Source organism: Homo sapiens, chromosome 1 (genome assembly GCF_000001405.40).
Source record: "Homo sapiens chromosome 1, GRCh38.p14 Primary Assembly".
Taxonomy (NCBI): Eukaryota; Metazoa; Chordata; class Mammalia; order Primates; family Hominidae; genus Homo; species Homo sapiens.
Window position 1 is genome coordinate 31,905,919 of NC_000001.11, and position 24,750 is coordinate 31,930,668.

The 24,750-nt window shown below is 39.2% G+C and overlaps 2 protein-coding genes across 7 annotated transcripts in view, besides 1 other annotated feature; both read right to left on the reverse strand.

Annotated features, from left to right (window-relative positions):
* Positions 1–502: 502 nt before the first annotated feature.
* Positions 503–24,750, reverse strand: part of PTP4A2 (protein tyrosine phosphatase 4A2) — a 31,948-nt gene continuing 7,700 nt past the window's right edge. For 3 of the 6 annotated variants that reach the window (NM_080391.4, NM_001369860.1, NM_001369859.1), the window contains 5 exons: positions 13,052–13,740; positions 9,977–10,069; positions 5,778–5,908; positions 4,120–4,194; positions 503–3,042 (listed from right to left, as the gene is read on the reverse strand). In NM_080391.4, coding sequence (NP_536316.1) covers positions 2,934–3,042; positions 4,120–4,194; positions 5,778–5,908; positions 9,977–10,069; positions 13,052–13,147 — 504 coding nt within the window. In that variant the 5' untranslated portion in view covers positions 13,148–13,740 and the 3' untranslated portion in view covers positions 503–2,933. The remainder of the gene's footprint in view (positions 3,043–4,119; positions 4,195–5,777; positions 5,909–9,976; positions 10,070–13,051; positions 13,741–24,750) is intronic. The other 3 variants (NM_001195101.2, NM_001369858.1, NM_001195100.2) reach the window with 2 other exon arrangements.
* On the reverse strand, positions 13,645–13,710 carry LOC128031832 (uncharacterized). Its single transcript, NM_001414727.1, has one exon. The coding sequence runs from the start codon at positions 13,708–13,710 to the stop codon at positions 13,645–13,647; it is 66 nt and encodes a 21-aa protein (NP_001401656.1).
* Positions 17,516–18,059: an enhancer, noted in NCBI's record as "H3K4me1 hESC enhancer chr1:32389035-32389578 (GRCh37/hg19 assembly coordinates)". NCBI's record gives its function as "activates a minimal SCP1, AML or CMV promoter by ChIP-STARR-seq in naive H9 embryonic stem cells {active_cell/tissue: H9 hESC(naive)}" and the evidence as "EXISTENCE:reporter gene assay evidence [ECO:0000049][PMID:30033119]".

Genomic DNA, 24,750 nt, shown 5'->3' on the forward strand with positions numbered 1-24,750 from the left:
CTTCCTGAACACCTCAGTGACATAAAATCTTTGAATTTCCAAGCCTCTATTTTACCTCCTTGCAGTAAACTAGCAGGACCCAAAACAGTCCTTGAAAATAGCAGGCAAAGAAAGGGGAACAGATGTAAGTGAAATTTTGGTTTTGTTGTTGTTGTTTTGGGACAGGGTGTCTGTCACCAAGGCTGGAGTATAGTGGCATGATCACAGCTCACTACAGCCTCAACCTCTTGGGCTCAAGTGTTCCTCTCACCTCAGCCTCCCAAGTAGCTGAGACTGCAAGCACACACCACCATGCCCAGCTAATTATTAAACATTTTTTTTTTGTAGAGATGGACTCAACACATTACCCAGGCTGGTCTTGAACTCCTGGGGCTCAAGTGATCCGCCTGCCTTGGCCTTCCGAAGTGCTGGGATTATAGGCATGAGCCACTGCACCCAGCTTAAACTCCGCTTTATAAGCACAGACATAAACTCTTGAGGATGGAGGAAAAAAATGCACAAAGAGCGTGTAAAATATGTTTTATTGTTCTTTAAAAGGGTTCAGGGTTTGGTTTTAAATCAGGCTGCACACCTTTCAAATCAATCTGACATCTCTCTATGTCAAACTGGCTTCAGCTAGCAATACTTCATTAAATCGAAAAGAAAAAAATTGCTTTAAGGAAAAAAAATCCAGTTTTAAGAACAATTAACATTAGTCTTTAAAATAAAAGGAGGGCTAATGTTTCATGTTGCTTTATACATCCTTCTCCTCAATACAGAACCAGGAATGTAATTTTCCTAACTCAGGCAGGCACTGATACTGATGGACACTGCGCGTGCACACACACACACACACATACACACACACACACACACACACACACACACACCCCCTCCCCCCAAACAACAAAATTCAGAGTATGTCAAAGGAAAAAGGTTTGTTATTGTATTGATCAAAACCCAGTGGAATCAACACCATCTATCTTAGCTTAGCAGGTATGCTGTTTTGATCTTGAGTCTATATTAATGGAATCTATTGTTGCATTCTGAAATAAAGAATTTTGGATATACCATTATGTTTTAAAGTCCTAGAAACAATTTCGAAAAGCATTATTTTGTTTTGTTTTCTGGGATGGGAGAGGAGAGAATCTACAGATTTGCGTTTAGTTAAAAATCAAAACTCCAGCATAGGAAATAGGCAGTTCACATAGCCGGTCAACATGTGAGGTATCATCAGTGTGAGACAAGGTCCCGGTCTGTTCCTATTGGCCTAGCTGACGCTAACAAAATGGGAGGCTTATGGCTCTGCACAGCAAATTCCAGCAGGACAAGATGACTTTAAGCCCGTATTCAGAGCCCTAGAAGCAGGGCACTACTGAGTACGTAATATTTAGAGGTGAAAATAGTGCAAGAGCCCCTGATGGTGCCCCTCTACCTGCTTTGTCCATGCAGCCTGATCATAACTGCCTTCCACAAAGGAGCAGAAAAACAGCTTTTCTAGATCAGTACACTAAACCCAGCCAAGAATCTGCAAAAATGCTACTACACCGCTTCACAAGCAACACAGTCCCTTCACTACTCATTGGGTTGCACGATGTCTCTCTTCTACCCTGTTATGGCCTGTGGACACATACTCACTAGGCATCATTGTTGGTTTTAAACCAGGGATTTTTTTTTTTTAATCTCAAAAAACCTAGTAATAACAAGGCAATCAGTGGTTAAACTGAACTTTACATATAGGGGGCAGTTTGGAAAACACATACCACAAGCATTTCTCAAGTCGAAAATATGTGAATTTGCTGCTGCTCCTTTGACGGTTCCTGAAAATTCAGAGTACAAGTCCTAAAATAAAAATTTTAAGCTACCAGCATTCTCTGATACTAGACAGAAAATCAGAGTAACGCTACAGCCCACAATTCTACAGGGTGTAAAAAGTACGCTCACTGCCTGGACATCTTTATTGATGGCCTGGAGTCCTCCCTTTTAGAAGACAAGTTTCTGGGATAACCACTTAGCTTCATTGGTTAGGGAAGAGAAGAATTCGACTCTCAGGTAAGTTGAGAAGAGACTCCTCTTAAAATGCCATTTCTCCACTAATTTATCAAAATAAAAACAAAACAAAAGGCTCTTGGCTACTTTGCCTAGTATTAGATAGGGTTTTGAAGAAACTAACATGAACACCCTTTCATCAGTAAAGACTAAAAACCACCTGGAAAATATATATATATATATATATATTATATTATATATATATATATATATATATATATATATATATATATATATATATATATATATATATATATATATCACTGCTGTTTTTTTGGTGTTGTTTTTTGTTTTTTTTTTTTTTTTATCTAAAAGTGCCCAGGTGGGCTTAAGGCTGCCAGACTGCACGCACATCTACAGCAACAAGGGCTTCTATTCCATCTACAACTTGGATCGGGGGAAAAGGGAGATGTAGGAGAGGAAGGAAAAAAGAGGGGAAAAATATACCACCAACCCTCCCCCACAAAAAAAGGGAAAAAAAAAATCCCACCACAGGGAGATCTATGTGCCAAGCATAATGGAAGAGTGTGCTCCCCAAACAGATGGTTTTGCACAGGCTAATGTTCTGCTGGTTTTCCTTAGAGACCTATTTTGAAAAAGTTTAAAAAGACAGGAGATTTCAAAATAATTCAATCCTGGCAGAAATTCAAACTCCAAAACTAGGAGCAAAATCATCCTTCACTGAATTAATTCCTTTTCTCTTTCTCTTTTCTTAAACATTTTATTCATTTTATAGAGAGATTTCTTTTTTGTTTGCTTTTGTTCCAATCATTAGGAGAGTGGTTGAGGAGTACTGAATCCATCACTACTTTGATGACACAGGTAATATTCCAGATTCACATTTCCAGGTACCAAGAGTTCCCTCTAAATGGCACAATCAAGTCAGCCTTCGTTTACATTTCCTTCTACTGAACACAGCAATGCCCATTGGTATCTCTGAAGCGTAATCGCATCTTAGGTCGGTATTTCTCCAAATAAAGCAGCTGTTTGGAATTGAACGCTCCCCTTCTTTTTCTGAAAATACAAGAATGGCAAACTTTATCATGTAAAAAAAGAGCTGTCTGATTCACTGAAATGCATTATTTACATCCTAAAGCCTTTCTAATTCCACACAGCTGAAAACCAGCATATTTCCCATACTACAACAATTCTTAAAGAGCTAAGTTGCAACATGAACTTTCTAAGCCCTCCTAGAAGGAATAGAAAAATTTTTCTTGCTGACTGTCATTATAGTCTATTAACCATTTAATAAAGATCAGAATAGTTTCTACTTTCGTTTTCTTTTTTTAAAGGAAGGGTTGAAAGGGAAAGGGCAAGACAAAAATTGTCAAAGAATTCTGGATAACAAAATAGCATGATTCGTTATTCCAGATCAATGTCAAGATCCTGTCTGTGCACTACCATCCTGATTTTGTCCCTGAATAGATCACTTAAGAGTCCCAGGTGAGGCCAGGCGTGGTGGCTCACGCCTGTAATCCCAGCACTTTGGGAGGCCGAGGTGGGCGGATCACGAGATCAGGAGATTGAGATCATCCTGGCCAACATGGTGAAACCCCGTCTACTAAAAATACAAAAATTAGCTGGGCGTGGTGGTGCGTGCCTGTAGTCCCAGCTACTTGAGAGGCTGAGGCAGTAGAATCGCTTGAACCCAGGAGGCAGAGGTTGCAGTGAGCCGAGATTGAGCCACTGCACTCCAGCTTGAGCAACAGAGCGAGACTCCATCTCAAAAAAAAAAAAAAGAGTCTCAGGTGATTAACTGCTCCTCTACACATTCTTCTTGCCTCCTCCTAACAGAGAATTATATTTGGAAGGTATTTGGAATCTATTAAAAGGGGCATTTTTGAGATTCCTAGATACTCAAAACAATATACTGGACACAGTCTATAATGTCCAAATTAGAAAACTTTTGAATCTGGAAACCAGCTGTACTGAGTCTCTATCACTTGCTCTAAATTTTTTACATCTTCAAATAATACTTCAAGCCAAAAAAAGCAAATTATCCCATACTATAAATGAATATCCCTTCCATAATTCCTTCCTCATGCATGATCTTGCTTTCTGTGTTTCTGAACACAAAAACTTCATACTCACTGTCTTATAAACTGAACTGCATCTTCGTACTTCATTCCACATTCAATCAAAGCAAGTGCAACCAGCACAGGTGCCCTGCAGAAAGAAACCTGTATGTAAGTATCCATAAGTCTTGGAGTGAAAGGATTTTTAAAAACCTGTAACTGCATATTACCAATGCAACGCATGAGCTTTCTTTTTCCTGTATACTAAAGTAGCTGGTATCTGCCTAATACAGTAAATATATCTCATCATCATTAATTCTATGATTTTTTTTTTTGGCGGGGCAGGGGACAGGGTCTCGCTCTATCACCCAGGCCAGAGTGCAGTGGCACAATCACGGCTCACCGCAGCCTCAACCTCCCAAAGCTCAGGTGATCCTCCTGCCTCAGTTCCTCAAATAGCTCGGACTATAGGTGCCCGCCACCATGCCCAGCTAATTTTTGATTTTTAATAGTTAGTAGAGACGGGGTTTCTCCGTGTTACCCAGTCTGCTCTTGAACTCCTAGGCTCAAGCAATCTGCCTGCCTCCGCCTCCCAAAGTGCTGGGATTACAGGCGTGAACCATAGCGCCCAGCCTGATTATCTACTTTTAGTAAAGCACTAAATTCTAAACCTTAAGAAATCTTTACTCTTTAAAACATCACATTATATATTAAATTCTCTCATCACTAGATATGATCAAAAATCCTTCATTGGCCTTTAGCCATTATCACAGTAAAATAAATGACCAAACATATTACTTATCTCCAATGTGTCAGAATTTTCATTACCAATTGATTTTAATATTTCCTTATCAAATGCTAAAAAGGTGCTAGACGTTTTCAAGAAAATCCTTTTGATGAGCTAGGAAAATGCCCAAGAATTGATGACTAGAAGAAGTTCTATCTTTTTAAAAAAATTTAACAAAGGAAATGATGTTTTTATAAAGCCCATTACAGGGCACCAATTTTGGGCTACCTAAAACTAGGATAGCTACTAGTTATAAAACTGCCAACTCACGTTACAACATTATCTTCAACCTTCAGGATAAGGACTAAAACTTCTAACCTTATGAACAAACAGTACCACACTACAAAAAAGGAAATAGCAAACAAAAGGGCAGAGCAGAACTAACAGCTTGAGTAATCACCACCTTGAGGCAATGGCAGCCTACACTAATGTTTTGAGTCAAAGTGTGCATCCTAAATTGGCATTTAATCTGCTGCTGATGACAGCGTTGCAACACCATTCTAAGCAATGCTCAGGGGAAAAGGTTTTAAGATCAAAGTCAATTCTTGTCCATACATCTTCTTTCAAGAGTTTAAAGTTCAGATATCTGCTATCTATTAACTTCCCATTCATCTCAGTCCAAAATTAACCATGTATAGATTCATCAAACTCTAAAATTATTTTAATTTTGTTGCCAATTTCAGTGACCTGAACTTTTGATTACTTGAAATAGGGAGAAAAATAAAACACCCACAATCCAGGCTGGCATCAGAATCAGACAACCAGATGAAATGAACAGGCTCTTTTGAGAAATCATTACACTAGTTTTTCCTCTCATTTCCTTTCCTTTCAGGTAATTTAATGTTATTTAGTATAATATATGCAAATGTCTACCAAAGTGAAACTTTCAACTAACTTAGGCATGGTAATGAATTCAGACAAAAAGGGTAATAAAGGTAAGAGTTTACCTTCCCAATCCTGCAACACAATGCACTGCAACACAGCAACCTGGCTCTTCACGAAATTTGGTTTTTAACAGGTTTAACCAATCATCTACTATCTGATTAGGGGGTGGAGCTCCATCATCAAATGGCCAATCCTGAAAAGAAATGACCTTTTACATTAAATTGATATTTTCTCCATGATTAACATCCTAATACAGAATACCTGCACACAGTACACACGGCAGGCCTAACTGAACTAACTGCACTATATATACCTATTGTTAACACAATTCTGATCATTGCTGTAAAATGATCCAGGATTGAAATTAAAGTTTGCCAAATAAATTACCCTTCTCAATGCAGTGTCGCACACATCTGAATTTACAAAAACTTACAGAAATCTCTATCAGAGTCATAAGAGCTAGTGTTCTCCCAAAAATGATATCTGAATAGAGTAGTAATTAGACATAATAGACAAAACTGTAATTAAAGCCAAGACAAAGTAACAGAGGACACAGCACATGTCAACATGATTTAAAAGTCCACTCTGGCAAAGCATACCAACTGGTGTCTCATTGGTCTCTACAGATAATTGAAGATTATAATTCAAGATAACTAAGTTATGACATCTTTAGAGAAAGGTTATCTGATAAGAAATCTCCAATAGTTAGTAAATCATAACAGAAACAAACTACCATCTTTGTGCTTATTAAAAGGCAAGCAGTGAGTATTTTTAAAGTGCTTACTAAATTATATATGTCCCCATTTAACAAGGACAGGGCTGCATGACAGGGTCCTGGGCAAATGGAGACCATTTTGTCAAGTATCCCTTTCTCTTTCTGTATTCACCTATTTGGGCTATCTTTCAATTAAGACTAATCCCACGAGCATTCACAGTATAGGCAGGGGTTTATCTTCCTCACTACTTAGCAAGAGGTCCTAAGAAACCAACACAAATGGGGAGTGGAGGAGGGGGACTGGGGGCTGACATTTTACAAGCCTTCCCTCCTGCCATCTAAGCTTCAAAGATAGAAATGCAAAAACACTGTTAGGAATTTTTTTAAAAACATAAGGCTATTCTAATGAGATTGGATAAGGACACTTTAAGATATTAGGGGAGGAAAAAGAGAAAAGTGACAGAGCATTAAATTGATTCTGCATTCATTATTGGCACCACTAGAACACTTCATGTAGCCCATTAGCCAAAACAGTACATGATTGAGTTGACAACTACGCCCCATAATTAAAGGACTGTGTTATTATAAATGTCACTAGAGAGTTTAACTGTAAATAGCAATAAAACCAGTACCTTAGTCAAGAGCTTACTTCCTCTAATACTCCCTAAAATGCACCTAGTTAAGAAACAATATAAAACATGCTTCACTTACTCATATAAGTAGTGTCTATTTTTAAAAAAATCATTAATCATTTAGAAACATCTGAACCTCAAATTGATACAGCTAAAACCACCATTAGTCTATTCCAATGTGTGTCTGGTTTGCAAGAGCATTCAGAGGACTGACAGGCCTTATTTGGGGATATCCTCTTACCATGAAATGTTCCAAAACCCTCCTCACCTAGCAAAATTAGATTAACTCTTAAAATCTCTGTCTGGGAAAAGGAAATTCCAAGCTTAAGGCTAAATGCCCTTGTTTTTTCAAGTGTAAGTTAAACCTTTCATTTTATCTGATCATAGCTATTTATTTATTTGTTTGTTTGTTTGTTTTTAATGACTTATTTTCCTCTGGGTAGATACCCAGTAATGGGATTGCTGGATCAAATGATAGTTCTACTTTTAGTTCTTTAAGGAATCTCCACGCTGTTTTCTATAGTGGTTGTACTAGTTTACATTCCCACCAGCAGTGTACAAGTGTTCCCTTTTCACCACATCCCTGACAACATCTATTTTTTTTTTTAATTTTTTGATTACGGCCATTCTTACAGGAGTAAGGTGGTATCATATTGTGCTTTTGATTTGCATTTCCCAGATCACAGCTATTTAAAACAAAACAAAAACCTAAATTTAAAGGCCTGGAATAAATCTTAGGCCTACCATTATCTTCCTCAAACTAGTTCAAGTTCTTTAGTTCATTTCTATTTCACAAAGATGTTTACCAACATTACTGACTCAAACAGACTATGGTCAATCCAGTCATTTTCTCACTCTGCCATCTGTCAAAACAAGTTGATTTTTGCTCACTAGAGAACATATTCATAATGCAGCAAAATAAACTTGTATGCAGCTTATTTTCGGAAGTTTAAATTTTATTACTACTTTTTAAACACAGGGCTGCATTTGACATGTTTACACTCATTCCCAGTGATTTCCAGCAGTGGACAGTAAAGTCATTTAGAAATTTGACTGCAAGCAAATTATTACCATGCCAAACTATTAAAACACATTATTGACTGATTGACTGACAAGGTCTCTGTCACCCAAGCTGGAGCACAGCAGCACAATCATGGCTCACTGCAGCCTTGACCTCTCGGGTTCAGGTGATCCTCCCACCTCAACCTCCCAAGTAGCTAGGACTATAGGTGCATGCCATCACGTCCAGCTAATTTTTGTATTTTTCGGAGAGACAGGGTTTCACCATGTTGCCCCACTAGTCTTGGAACTCCTGGACTCAAGTGATCCACCTACCTTGGCCTCCCAGAGTGGTGGGAACAGGCATGAGCCACCACACAGGGCCCTAAAACACATTTTTTTAAAACACATTTGGCTATTTAGTTTTTATTTTCACCAAAATGGACATGAGGAAACTATGGATCAGATATAAGAGGACTGCCTTACCAATAGGTCATTATTCTTTTTGCATCAACTGCCTTCCCAACCACTGACCAATATAATAAAGACTACAGAACTACCTCTCAATAAGAAGCAGGAACATAACCTTAAACCAGTATCTTCCTTGTTACGTTCTTCCTAACTACTTATAAAATCTCCAGTTCTCTTCCTACTACATAACCTTCCCACAATCAAACCAACAGCTCAAAGACATCTAAAATTACAAGATCATTTCATTACGTGCTCCTAAAAGCTGCTCCTACAACTTAGACAACTACTTAGGGAAGAAAGAATAAAATGTTAACTAATCTGATGCTCCCATTTGCTATAAGGAAACAGCCTATTTTGATGCTAAAAAGGAACTTAATTTAAAATAATTCCAATCACTTTGTGCTCAAATTGAGCTAGACAAAAAATCTAATCATACTAAAGCTCCTCAGAAACCTAACAAAAAGTATCAGAAACTATGCTGATTACTCTGGAGGAGGATGCCTTCTACCTCTCCTCATCCTCTTATCCCACCTTTTTGCCTCCTACAAGTTATCCACAAAATATTAAGTAACTAATCTTGTACTTGCAAAGTGGCAGAGTTCCATATGGACTTAAGAATGTCTGATGGAAATTACTTTCATTATATTCAAATTAGTAGCCTAGAAACAAAAGCTAAATATTGTATTAATTTCCTAAAAAATAAAACTTGCAAATTTACATGTTGTTAAAATAAGAGCACACTAAATTTTGCTTTTTATTAGTTGAAAATACTATGATTTGTAGGCTTTAAGAGCACAAATGAACAAAACTGCCAATTTGTTAATCCAAAAGAATTTGAAAGATTGCTATCAATAATGTATTTTCCACTACAACCTTAAAAAAATCCAAAAGTATTACTGCCAGGGTTTTTTTGTTTTTGTTTTTGAGACAAGGTCTTACTCTCATCCAGGCTGGAGTGCAGTGGCATAATCAAGGCTCACTGCAACCTTGACCTCCCAGGCTCAGGCGATCCTCTCACTTCAGCCTCCCAAGTAGCTGGGACTACAAATGTGTGCCACCGTGCCCACCTAATACCAAGTTTTTAATTTTTTTTTTTTTTTTTTTTTTGAGACGGGGTTTCCCTCTGTCACCCAGGCTGGAATGTGGTGGTGTGGCCACAGCTCACTGCAGTCTCAACCACCTGGGCTCAAGTGATTCCCTCACCTCAAAAACCCAAGTAGCTGGGACCACAGGTGTGCACCAACATGCCCCACCAGTTTTTTAATTATCTGTACAGATGAGATCTCGCCACATTGCCCAGGCTGGTCTTGAACTCCTGGGTTCAAGTGATCTTCCCACAATATTGGGATTATAGGTGTGAGCCAGTGCACCTGGCCTAGTTTTATAAATATTTATGTTTGAAAGATACAACTTGTTTTGAAAAATTTAAATACTACACACTCACTAGAACGTGGATTCCTTCTTTTTCAACTGGAGCTTTATCATATGTAGCATCACAAACTCGAACCAAAGTCGTCACTCCATACTTCTTAAGTTCCTTTAAAAAAAAAAAAAATTATAATGGAACTTGTTTTTGAAACCTACAGCCAAAAATGTAGAAATGTACTATTATAGGCCGGGCGGGGTGGTTCACGCCTATAATCCCAGCACTTTGGGAGGCCTGAGGCGGGCATATCACAAGGTAAGGAGTTCGAGACCAGCCTGACCAACATAGTGAAACCCCGTCTCTATTAAAAATACAAAGATCAGCTGAGTGTGGTGGTGCGGGCCTGTAATCCCAGCTACTCAGGAGGCTGAGGCAGGAGAATCGCTTGAACCCAGGAGGCAGATATTGCAGTGAGCCGAGATCGTGCCACTGCACTCCAGCCTGGGCGACAGAGCGAGACTCCGTCTCCAAAAAAAAAAAAAAAAAAAAAAAAAAAGAAATCTACTATTATAAATTAAAACAATGAGATATCATTTTTAGACAAAGATCAGAATTGTTCTCACTGTGGTTATATATTCAATGGACACTCATGAAATCTCAGTGGCAGTGTGAGACTCACCTTTCTAAAGGGCAGTTTGGTAGCATAACGTGAAAACTTACACAAAAGTTCACATACACTGCAACCTAAAAATTCTACTTCTGGGAGTTTATACAAAAGAAATAATTAAAGACATATACAAATATTTAGGTAACAGCACATTCACCACAAACTGGAATGGTGAAAAATTAGAAACCACATTAATGGTCCAAAAATAAGGGAATGATTAAAGAAGTATGGCACATCCATATAGTGAACACTATGACAGCTATAAAAACAATACCAAGGAAGATGGGGAAAGATTTTAAAAAATATATAGTGTGATCCTATCTGTATGTGTATTTATGAATACACACAGATATATGCAGAGAAAAACATCTAGAAGCCAGTTATTAACAATTAAATGTTGTTAAATTCTTTTTGCTTATCTGTATCTTTATATTTTTATGAAATAAACATGCTTTTTTTAAAGAAATAAAATTCTGAAATTAAGAAAAAAAGTGGTATATTAAAAAGACAGCTAATGCAGTTATAGCCAGAAGCCTTGCTCCTTTAAAACTCTCCCTACGGTGAATCCCTAACCCAGTGACTACCTATCTTCAAGGGGCTACCAATATCTTTTTTATAGTTGCAGGAGGACAGTGGCCTGTGCCACTTCTGGAGACTATGGCCAAGGAATCCACAGGTTGAAAATAGTACCACATAATTCAGCCAGGCTTAAAGGTGACTGAACAATCTGAGGGCATACAGGCGTAGAATCAACTTGTACGCTGTGTATACAAAGTTAAGAAGCTCAGGGAATTATAAGTATAAATAAGCAGGCACAGTGATATCCTATAAGAAGGGTCCATCATTTAGTTATCTAAAGTGTAAAATTATTTTAATTGCTAAAGGACTTCATTTTTCACAAAAAGGCCTTCTTATAATACAGACTCAAGAAAGGTAGAAGTATTGTCAGGAATTTTAAAAATGTTTCAAAATACAAATAAAATCCCATTAAAATAAACTCTGTAATAGCCATTCATTGAAAAGTTGCGATAAAATTTTTTATGGTATTTGTGACCTTAAGCAAGTCAAATCCTCTTTTGGTCTCAGTTTTCCCATCTATAAAATGAAAATCACTAAGAGTTCACCCACCTTTCTAACTCTACTCCATAAATACAGCAAGAAAAATCATTTAAACTCAACAACCCAAGAATGATTAAAAAGCTTATGTTCTGGTCAGGCACAGTGGCTCACGCCTGTAATCCCAGCATTTTGGGAGGCCGAGGAAGGCGGATCACGAGGTCAAGAGATCAAGACCATCCTGGCCAACACGGTGAAACTTCGTCTCTACTAAAAATACAAAAATTAGCTGGGTGTGGTGGCGCGCGCCTGTAGTCCCAGCTACTTGGGAGCTGAGGCAGGAGAATCGCTTAAACCTGGGAGGTGCAGGTTGCAGTGAGCCAAGATCGTGCCACTGCACTCCGTCTCAAAAAAAAAAAAAAAAAAAAGGGCTGGGCACGGTGGCTCATGCCTGTAATCCCAGCACTTTGGGAGGCCGAGGTGACAGATCACAAGGTCAGGAGATCAAGACCATCCTGGCTAACATGGTGAAATCCCGTCTCTACTAGAAATACAAAAAATTAGCCGGGAGTGGTGGCAGGTGCCTGTAGTCCCAGCTATCAGGGAGGCTGAGGCAGGAGAATGGCGTGAACCCGGGAGGGGGAACTTGCAGTGAGCCGAGATAGTGCCACTGCACTCCAGCCTGGCGAAGAGCGAGACTCCATCTCCCAAAAAAAAAAAAAAACTTATGTTCAAATGCTTGCTCAAAGAAGTACAAAGAGTTTTTTCTCCTACCAATAGAAAAAATATTAAGGATCTGACATAAAAATACTACCTCTACCACCTTTCCTTCACCCAAGTTTCTGGACCCTTGTATACGATTATTACAACGAAGTAGTCTGGGGGTGCCTTTTCATCAAAGGTGGTTAGAATATCTGAAGTACATACAGAATGGTTTTTAGTGTCAGACACCTAGGCAAGTACATTAGTTCCACCACATACTATGTGCCATTAGGCAAATTACTAAATGGCTCTGAACCTGTTTCCTCATTGGTAAGAGGGAAATAATGGTAGCTACACCTCATAGGGTTTTTGTATTTGTGACCTTAAGCACAAACACTGCTCGTTGCATAATGTGTAACATTGTTTGTTATAATGCTAAGTGCATATCGTGGTCAATAAATGTTAATTATCATTACTGAATGTTTGACCAAAAAAACCTGTCAATAAATGTAGAAAGAACACAGAGAAAACAGTACTAGATATCTCTACAGTCCCCAAATTTCACAAAATGTTCTTGAAAAAATCTGCTGTAACTAACCCAACCCAATTCAAACCAGGATTGGCAGGATGACTCCAAATACAGAATAAATGGCTTTGTGCTAAGAGAATTTTTTAATGGGATTTTACCTAGAAATCAATCCAAAAAGTAGACCATGCCACAATCTTACCTCTGTGAACTTGTTGAGAGTAGCATTGGTAGGGTTGTGAGTTATCAGAAAACGCATGTTCTCATAGGAGATCTCCACAGGGGCTGGACGGTTCATTATGGCAAATAAAAAGTGTGAGCGTGCGTGTGAGTGTGATGGGGAAAGTGAAAAAAAAAAATCAATAAATCTTGAAATGTTTCACAGCAGAAAACATTAAAAAGACCACTAAAATGCCTATTATCAATCAGTGTTTTCTCTATTCAACTTGTTTATTCCTTATGAAGCTTCTCTCTTCAAGATAAGCAAAGTATTTAGAATCCACTTGAATCCAAATTCAATTTGGGCCTCAATTTCTGCAGATGGATACCTTCGGACTCCAAAAAATCCAACTACATACAAAACTTAAGCAGCCTTTACTACATTTAGGCACTAGTGAGACAAGTTAAAAGTGTAGGTCACTTTCCACTTGTTTACTTGATGCTTAATTTTACTGGAGTCATTAAAAGAAATATGCTTGCAATTAAAAAAAAAAAAAGCCAACTATTTCTGAGGCCAGTCTCGGTGTCCAGGAGTCTTCAAGGCAATGTTAATTATGGCACATAGAACCTCCAAGCTCACTTGTCAGCGAAAATGCTGTGCTGAGCCTGGCAGAAGTCTGCCCTCACACTCAGAATCGCCATAAATGTGCAACGTATATTCCAACGAAAAACCTGGAGAAGAAAAGAATAAGTAAAATGAACTAGAGGCTGATGGCACAGTAAACACAAATGCCTGAAGTCAAAATACATTCTTTATAAGCCCAAAGCGATGTGAAATGTCACCAATTATACGTTATTACCATCTATGAAGAATTGGATAAAGGGGTATTATGAAGAGTTTTAAAAATCAGAGACTCGAGCCGGGTGTGGTGGCTGATGCCTGTAATCCTAGCACTTTGGGAGGCTGAGGCAGGCAGATCACCTGAGGTCGGGAGTTTGAGACCAGCCTGATCAACATGGAGAAACCCCGTCGCTACTAAAAATACACAATTAGCCAGGTGTGGTGGTGCATGCCTGTAATCCCAGCTACTCAGGAAGCTGAGGCAGGAGAATCGCTTGAACCCGGGAGGTAGAGGTTGTGATGAGCCAAGATGGCACCATTGCACTCCAGCCTGGGCAACAAGAGCAAAACTCTGCCTCAAAAAAAAAAAAAAAAAAAAAAAATCAGAGACTTGAGCCAGGTGTGGTGGCTGATGCCTGTAATCCTAGCACTTTGGGAGGCTGAGGCGGGCAGATCACCTGAGGTCGGGAGTTCAAGACCAGCCTGGCCAACATGGAGAAACCCCGTCTCTACTAAAAATACAAAATTAGCCAGGCATGGTGGCGCATGCCTGTAATCCCAGCTACTTGGGAGGCTGAGGCAGGAGAATTGCTTGAACCTGGGAGGTGGAGGTTGCAGTGAGCTGAGATTGTGCCACTGCACTCCAGTCTGGACAATGAGAACAAAACTCTGTCTCAAAAAACAAAAAAACAAAAAAAATCAGAGACTCGATTACTTTTAACTCAAATAATTTTTAAATGATTACTAGATACTTAAAACTTCCATGAACTTTTTTTTTTTTTTTTTTTGAGACGGAGCCTTGCTCTGTCACCCAGGCTGAAGTGCAATGGCGAGATCTCAGCTCACTGCAACCTCCGCCCCCCAGGTTCAAGCTATTTTCCTGCCTCAGCCTCCCAAGTAGCTGGGATTACAGGTGCCCACCACCACACCTGGCTAATTTTTGTATTTTTGGTAGAGACGGGGCTTCACCACGTTGACCAGGCTCATCTCGAACTCCTGACCTCAGGTGATTCGCTTGCCTAGGCCTCCCAAAGTGCTGGGATTACAGGCGTGAACTACTGCGCCTGGCCCATGAACTCTTCATAAACTTCACAAAGATCTCCTTATTTTTCTGCTTTGATGGTTAGGTCCTTCACATATACTCTTTGGTTAAAATAAGGTGTACCTATAAATGGGTAGAGGATATTAATCAAAATTTCACTTTGAGGATTTTATTCTTTCTATCCAAAGTATATGTGTTGGCCCTCAATGATGAGACTAACTCATAAGGCACTCTCAAAAAATCCTGTGATCCAACACTGTACTGACAGTACTTTCCTATATGATACTGTAATGTTTCACACAATGCAGTGGACATAACCAACTTGTTACGTAAATAAAGAATTGATTTTTTAAAAATCATTTCCCCTTTTCCTCACAAGTCTTGAGTAGTTGTTACAACATATAAGGAATGAGGAAAGAAGATCAGAAAAATGAAGTGACTTGCCTAACATCACACAATGGAAGTTTTTAACTGAGCCCAAATTCAAACCCAAGTCTTCTGTTAGTCCCGTTTTTTCCAATGTACCACAAATGCCTCCTGACTCAACTAATGTATAAACCTCATCCTCTCCTTTCTATTTCAGTTTACCTTTTTATTATTTGTCACATAATAATTGCCTCAAGAATACAAAATTATTTGAAGGTCACTGATTCACACACACTTCTCCCCAAACATTAATCCCTACCAAAAAAACAAAGCAAGAAGTGACAGAATTTTTATTATTATTTTTAGGCCTGCTGCTTTGAAACACAGTAATCTTTACAGCTGGCTCAGTCAGAGAACATCAACATAATCATAAATTCCTCTGGAAAAAGGGACAAAGCTTAAGTTCTTTCACTTGCCTTTTCCCTAAGTTACCAATAAAGGCTTATTTAGAAGTCTCTAAAAAATAGCTGTAACCAGACAGAAATAGGTATGAAAGATAATGACTACGGAACCATTTTCAGGAAGAAACTGAAATATATAGGTAAGTAGCTAGGCCTACAAAGCTTCAACACTATTCATCTATCCTCAAGCTTTTTTTATGATACTCTTATGGCATTTTATTGTGTAAATTGCATACTTGTGATTATATAACCACTGACACAAACATAAAACTAAAATAATATAAAAGACACAAATGAAATTCAAAATGGCATTCTAAGAACTTCAATAATACTACAGCAGAATGAGTTACTCGCTACAGTAAAAACACAAAATGTCTACCCTCAAAACTAAAAACAAAAATACATTCCATCGCTCTTCCTACCTCAAAATTCTAACTGTAACCCCAAAACATAGCCACCTTAGATTACAGAGGAAAACATTTCATAAAGTACTCCTTGTACAGTCAAGAAATTTTAGAACCAACAGAAACATCAACTACCCTGACCTTTTAAAAAATAAAAAAGTTGGCCGGGCGTGATGGCTCACGCCTGTATCTCAGCACTTTGGTAGGCCAAGGCAGGCAGATCACCTGAGGTCAGGAGTTCAAGACCAGCCTGATCAACATGGAGAAACCCCATCTCTACTAAAAATACAAAATTAGTTGGGCGTGGTGGCACATGCCTGTATTCCCACCTACTCGGGAGGCTGAGGCAGGAGAATTGCTTGAACCTGGGAGACAGAGGTTGCAGGGAGCCAAGATTGTGCCACTGCACTCCAGCCTGGGCAACAAGAGAGAAACTCTGTCAAAAAAAAAATTTAAAACAAAGTTTGGGGCTCAGAGAGGTTAAAATGGCTTAAGTATGATCGCACTGCTAACTGGTAGCAGCTTAAGAACAAAAACCCAGGTTTGTTTCTTTCTTTCTTTCTTTCTTTCTTTCTTTCTTTCTTTCTTTCTTTCTTTTATTTATTTTGAGACAGGTTTTCACTCTGTCACCCAGGCTGAGTGCAGTGGCGCGATCATGGCTCACCGCAGCCTCAACCTCCTGTCTCAAGCGATCCTCCCACCTCAGGCTCCTGAGGAGCTGGGAACACAGGTGCACACCACCAGGCTAATTTTTGATTTTCTGTAGCAACAAGGTTTCACTATGCTGCCCAGGCTGATCTCGAATTCCTGGATGAAAACCAACCTCCTGCCTCGGCCTCCCAAAGTCTTGGGATTACAGGCATGAGTCACCGTGCCCGGCCCAAATACTTTTTATCTTTTTTTTTTTTTGAGAGAGAGTCTTACTCTGTTGCCCAGGCTGGAGTTAAGTGGCACAATCTCAGCTCACTGCAACCTCCGCCTCCTGGGTTCAAGCAATTCTCCTGCCTCAGCCTCCCAAGTAGCTGTGATTACAGGCATATTTTTGTATTTTTAGTAGAGACAGGGTTTCACCAAAGGCCAGGCTGGTCTTGAAGGCCTGACCTCGTGATCTGCCCACCTTGGCCTCCCAAAGTGCTGGGATTACAGACGTGAGCCACCACACCCAGCCTCTTCTTTTCTTTTCAGAGACAGGGTCTTGCTCTATCGCCCAGGCTGGAATGCAGTGGTGCAATCATAGCTCACGGCAACCTCAAACTTCTGGGCACAAGTGATCCTTCTGCCTCAACCTCTTTTTTTTTTTTTTTTTTTTTTTGAGACGGAGTCTTGCTCTGTCGCCCAGGCTGGAGTGCAGTGGCGCGATCTCGGCTCACTGCAAGCTCCGCCTCCCGGGTTCACGCCATTCTCCTGCCTCAGCCTCCCGAGTAGCTGGGACTACAGGCGCCCGCTACCACGCCCGGCTAATTTTTTGTATTTTTAGTAGAGACGGGGTTTCACCGTGTTAGCCAGGATGGTCTCGATCTCCTGACCTCGTGATCCGCCCGCCTCGGCCTCCCAAAGTGCTGGGATTACAGGCGTGAGCCACCGCGCCCAGCCTGCCTCAACCTCTTGAGTAGCTGGGACTACAGGTGCATGCCACTGCGCCCAGCTAATATTTTTAAAGTATTTTTGGAGAGACGGGGGCCTTGCTATGTTGCCCAGGCTGGTCTAAAACTCCTGGGCTCAAGCGATCCTCCAGCTTTGGCCTCCTAAAGCACAGGGATTACAGGCCTCGTGAGCCACTAAGTCCAGCCCCACATATTTTTCAAGTTGCAATCTTCCATACAAGTATAATTTTTTTTCCAAATATCTGCTTGGATGTTCATCTCCAACTCTGCGACCTTAAAATAAGGTGGGAGACTGGGTGGAGTTTATTAAAGTAACTACTCAAAGAACAATAGTTTGCATGCAATGCAGAGCAAAACACAAGGAAATTCTAACCTATTTGAATCCCTTTGGTTCAATGACGTTATCACTGCAAATGTGTGTCAGCTGAGTAAAGGCACTGAAAGACCTGCATTGTAGTGACAGCCAGGCTTAAAGGCTACAGCTCCAGCATTAAGTTTTCTACCTAGTCTCCAGTGTGTGTCTGCTCAGCAAACAGAACAAGCTTTATCCCATCTTACTCTCCCAACCTCATTTTGGAAAGACCATTTCCAGGAATAAAGATAATTCATTATTAAGATTTTCAATTCTTAATACTGAGAACCCAGCAAAGGAATTTCTGCCAAAAGAAACAGTATGTTCTAGCACTTTTAACAGATACATGATAAAAACAAGCTTCTGTTCCCTCCCCCTCCATCAAGAGTTCAACTACACATCAACAGTTACATTTTTGCACCTGTCAATTCAGATAAACTAATGTTAATTCCTGTGACACACTTAGGAATGCAAAGCAAACAGTGTGTAAAAAATCATAAACAACCTATCACAGCTAGAAAGTACTCAAAAGTTGCAGAACCCTATGTTTTAACATAAATTCAGTGCATGTACACCATACAGGAAAATTCTCCTAAAGTTGTCTCTCTGACATTAATTCTGCTCTATCTACTTAAATAAATTATTGTTTTAACTTACCAAGTGATGAAAAAGGCTAGTTTACTTGACATATAACAGTGGTAAATTCAAATATACACCCAAATACTCCCTCTCCATTTAATTTTATCATAAAACCTAACTTTTAAAATGTTGAATTTGGGATATTTCCATTTCCTAGGCAACATTTCCATTTTTAACAAAAGAATACAACTTCAATGAAGGATGAGAAAGGATAGTCTGTGACAGAGAAGTCCTTTTAAATTAAGAAAGGAGGGAGATAAGGGATAAAAAAAAAGAAAAAACTATCCAGAGGTTAAAAAGAAAACATCTGTATGAACTGATATGAAATGACAGCTAAAAGACACTAATAAGTAAAAAAAGGCACAGTACATGACAGTATCAACAGTGTGCTTAGAAATATGTGTGAGTACTGTATGCATTCATGCACATGGGATATCTGGAAGATTACAAAGATAAGAGATAACAGTGGTTTCCTAGGGTTGGGGCAGGGCCAGGAACACAGGACTGAAGGCTGGAGGTCAACAGCACGATTTACTACATCTTAACATATACCTTTTGAACTGTTTTAACTTTTCCCATGTACATATGGTATTACCTTTAAAAAAAATTCTAAGGTGATAAGAACCCTATAATGATTTACAATCAAACTACGTTCTTAACAGTTCTATAATCATAGGATTAGAAAGAGGCTCCAGAGGGCTAGTCCTCTGTCCCAGGCAGGTCTGTACCTACACAATTCCATAAAGTGTTTTCTTTCCTGTTAAAGAGGCTAAATGAGTAAAATTCACGTCCTGCCTTGGCAACTGTAATTCTAACTACAAATAAAGTGAATTTAGAGGCCGGGCGCCGTGGCTCACGCCTATAATCCCAGCACTTTGGGAGGCCGAGTTGGGCAGATCACGAACGAGGTCAGGAGATAAGAGACCATCCTGGCTAACACGGTGAAACCCCGTCTCCACTAAAAATACAAAAAAATTAGTCGGGTGTGGTGGTGGGCGCCTGTGGTCCCAGCTACTTGGCAGGCTGAGGCAGGAGAATGGCGTGAACCCGGGAGGCAGAGCTTGCAGTGACCCAAGATCGCACCACTGCACCCCAGCCTGGGCGACAGAGCAAGACTCCATCTCAAAAAAAAAAAAGGTGAATTTAGAAGTATAAGGGAATTTTATAAAAGCAGCCTCATTTAATTTAACCCAATTTTACCGGGCATCCTTTTAAAATTCCTATCAATTGGCGGGCACAGTGGCTCATGCCTGTAATCCCAGCACTCTGGGAGGCCACGGTGAGTGGATCACGAAGTCAGGAGATCGAAGCCATACTGGCCCATCTCTACTAAAAATACAAAAATTAGCTGGGCGTGGCGGCGCATGCCTGTAATCCCAGCTACTCGGGAGGCTGAGGCAAGAGAATCGCTTCAACCCAGGAGGCGGAGGTTGCAGTGAACTGAGATTGCGCCACTGCACTCCAGCCTGGCCACAGAGCTAGATTCCGTTTCAAAAAATTAAAAAAAAAAAAAAATATATATATATATATATATTTATCTCTCCTATCAATCCACTCACATCAGGATTTCTAAGAAATCATCCCTTTACATTTCCAAATTAAATGATACAATAAACCCTCTAATTTGGTGAGCTACGCCAGTATTCACCAAATTAAAACAGCACATTAAAATATAAAGGTACAATAAAAGAATTCTAGATTTAAGGAAATACAGTCTAAAAGCAAAGGTCTAAAAAAAACGAGTATGCATATATTTACTGCTACTTTTCTTACCAGAAATTTTACAGGAAGTAATGCAAATTTGAGTCAGCTTGGTTTCAACAATCAGTCAACATGAAAGCCTAATAATGTAATATACAACTAACACCTTGCAACATTTTTTTCCTAAAGCAAATTCCCTTCATGTCAATAGCCACTTTTATTTCCCCTTAAAATAAGTATAAAAAATCTAATCTGTCAACAGTAAAGAATTTATCCTCCTGAAGAGCTAGGCATTTTCCTCAAATTCTTTCATTAATTCAAATATTTACAGAACATGTACTATGGGTCACATACTCTTACAGGTGCAAGAGCAATAAGCAAAACAAAAATTTCTGTTGGGATGGATCTTACACTTTACTGGGCAGAAAAAAAGAAATAAAAATGTCACTGCTCTGGAGAAAAATTAGAAGTAGGGGAATTAGCAGTGCCAGAGGGAGGGGGGTTCCAATTTTAAATAAGGCTAACAGGAAAGGCCTCACTGAAAAAAGTGACTTTTTATCCAAGAGCTGAGAGTGTGAGCCAAACAGGTATTTGGGGAGCATTTTAGGCAGAGGATTAACTGCTGCAAAGGTTATGAGGTGGGGACAAGCTTAGAGTATGCTAGGAACAAGGGAACCAATGCTACTGGAACAGAGAGGACAATGGAATGAATAGAGTCAGAGAAATAAAAGAGAGCCTTATAGGCCACTAAAAGCATTTGACTTTTATTCAGAAAATGATGCCTCTCCAAATGAAGCCAATGAAGGGTTTCACTCAAGAGTGACAACTCAAAGCCATAAAAAATAATGAAATCATGTCCTTTGCAGCAACATGGATGCAGCTGGAGGCCATTATCCTAAGCGAATTAACGCAGGAACAGAAAACCAAATACCGCATGTTCTCACTTATAAGTGGGAGCTAAACACTGAGTACACATAGACTCAAAGAGGGGAACAACAGACACTGGGGACCACTTGAGGGTGGAGGGTGAGAGGAGAGTGGGGCTTGAAAAACTACTTATCAGGTACTATGCTTGCTAACTGGTGACGAGGTGACAAAATCATTTGTACGCCAAACCCGAGCGACATTCAATTTACCCACGTAACAAACCTGCACATGTACACACTGAACCTAACATAAAAGCTGAAAAAGGAGAGAAAAAAAGAGTGATAACTTAGGTTTTACAAAGGATCACTCTATCTGCTATGTGGAAACATTACAAAAATGGTAAGGGTGGAAGCAAGGAGACAAGTAGATATAATGGTAGCTTAGACCAGGGTAACAGCAGTAGGGAAGATAAGAAGGGGTCAGTTTCAAGATACACTTTGACGTGGGATTTGTCCACAGACTGGATATAGAGTTTATGAAAAACAGTCAAGGCTCTGAGTAACTACAGAACTTGTGGAGTCCAACTTAATATTCAGAGGCTATTCAGACAATAGATTGTAAAATCTTCTCAACCATCAAAGTAGTAGGGAAAGTCCTCTGTAAAATGCTACTGTACCTATTGTATTTTGACCACTTGGGGGAAAAAAGTGTCTGAAAACTTGTAAACTAAAAAACCTCACCTTTAATTAGTAAAGCGTTTAATTAGTAAACACGCATCTTCTGATTAACTGGTCTCAAACTGAAAATTTATTCATCTCTTATAACCTACTCCCAAATCAAGTAGATAGAACAACAGTTCTATCTATCCTCTGCACTACCTACCTTTGTTTATCCCTCTACTGTTCCATTTATCAAACTAAAATAATCTAGTCCTTGAAACTTAGATTTAAATTAATATTATATTATATATAACAAATATATATTATAACATATATTTATATATTATAATATATAAATATAATAATATAATATATAGCATAATATAATTATATACAATATAATATTAATATTAATATCCCTCCTTACCCACAATAACTACAGTCCTAGGAAGGTGATAAAGAGGTATCAATTCAATTCTACACAAATAAGGATCCAAAATGTCAGTGAATAAGCCAAAAATAAGATGCTTTTTTTACTGTTAAAAAAAATTTTTTGGCCGGGCGCGATGGCTTACGCCTGTAATCCCAGCACTTTGGAAGGCCAAGATGGGCGGATCACCTGAGGTCAGGAGTTCAAGACCAGCCTGGCCAACATGGCAAAACCCTGTCTCTACCAAAAATACAAAAACTAGCCAGGTATTGTGGCGCATGGCTGTAGTCCCAGCTCAGGTGGCTGAAGCAGGAGAATTGCTTGAACCTGGGAGGCGGAAGTTGCAGTGAGCCAAGATCGTGCCACTGTACTCCAGCCTGGGTGACAGAGTGAAACTCTGTCTCAAAAAAAAAAAAAAAAAAAAAAAATTTCATAGTTACTCCCTTGGTTATTCCCACTTTTCCACTTCCTCATTTAAGGAGGGAACTTGAGACTCAAGTCCCAGTACAGAAATCAATAATCAGTTCTATAAAAAGAAATCATGACCTTGATGGTGGGAAAATGTCTTAACATTTCAAAACCAGTAGAAGATACATGGCCAGCCACTCAGAAAGATAAGGGAAGCAATTAGTCAACAATCGCACCTGCTTCTGAGAACAGTGACAGTTATTCACTGAAGTCCTGTGGGCCCTGTTCCCACCAAAATGAAAAGGGAGTGGTTTTAGATGTGCATGTACCCCGGTGATTAACGGTTGTCCTTTTCTAGTAATTTCTACCTCTACAAATAACTATAAGACAAAAATTGCATTAAATATTTTCAGGCCACACTTAAAAATATTTACTTTACAATTTTGTACTCCATTTTTCCTCTAAAGATTTCCAATTCTCAAAATGAATCTCTTATCTAAAATTGGTATTTTTCCTTTCATAAATAAAATTTAAATGCAGGTTAACAGCACTATGGCCAACGCCGACTTTCTCTTTAAAAAGTATTGGAATAGCACTGGTAATAACATTAAAAAATCCTAACAGCACAATCCTTATATTGAGTATTAATCTAATTGTTTTCAGTTAATCTTTTAAAAATTACATTAAATAGTTTTACTAAATGGATTCTATTCATCCATACTTTTGTGACAAAAGTATCATGGCTATCTTTTCTATGGGGTTTATGTTTAAAGACTTCAGTTTATGTGCATTTTAAGACTCCCAAGCCCCTTTATTATAAAGTTTAAGCACATTCTTTTCCTAAATAACTTTGGTAACCTTCTTAAGAATAGGAACTATCTCCAATTCAGTTGCTTCCCCAGAAAGTTAAATCCTAACATTTGTTTTATTTCCTCCTCCCATCCTTCCTTCTTTAATCTCAAAAGGCTAATTTTTCCAGAGAACAATTTAAGTCTTAATCATTTTAATTTAGTTTCCAACATCACTGTATGTACATTAACCCAAGAACCATTGAATCAATAATTTCATTAATAAATAATTTAAGATTCTGAACTTCAATTGTAATAAAGCAAATTCAGTAGTAAAAATCCAAAAGAACACCTGGAGTCAGCCTGTCAACACCACATTGAAATGTTTTCTGAGCTATATCAGGACAGTTAAAATGGCTGTAACAGCTGCAAGTTCCCTGAGGTTGCAAAATAGATACTTGGGAAAGGTTATTTGAATCACCTTTCAAAATAACCTACAGCACAGGAGTAGCATGCAAAGCAAAAACTTTCCGGCTACTGTTCACATTACCTAAAATATACCATCTCGGGCCGGGCGTGGTGGCTCACGCCTGTAATCCCAGCACTTTGGGAGGCCAAGGCGGGCGGATCACGAGGTCAGCAGATCGAGACCATCCTGGCTAACACGGTGAAACCCCGTCTCTACTAAAAATACAAAAAATTAGCCGGGCGAGGTGGCGGGCGCCTGTAGTTCCAGCTACTAGGGAGGCTGAGGCAGGAGAATGGCGTGAACCCCGGGGGGGCGGAACCTGCAGTGAGCCGAGATTGTGCCACTGCACTCCAACCTGGGCGACAGTGAGACTCCATCTCAAAAAAAAAATAAAAAATACCATATCTCAGAACTTAGTAGTTTATGGGTCAACTTAACTCTTTTCATTTCCCCATTTTGTCAAATGTATTGAGCGTATTTAAAGGTCCTGTTCCAGTATTAATCCCCAAAGAGAGTGAGGGAAACTCTCTATGGACAAGACACAGAATAAAAACATCCCAAAATACATCTTGTCAACATAAATTATTTTGTTTGAGCCCCAGAAATGTTTCTGCTGTTCAGGCACTCTGATCCAAGTTTCCCCTATAACTGGGTAAGTTACACTTCACTTCCTCTCCTAAACTTGCTTTTTATAAATTACATTATAGTTCA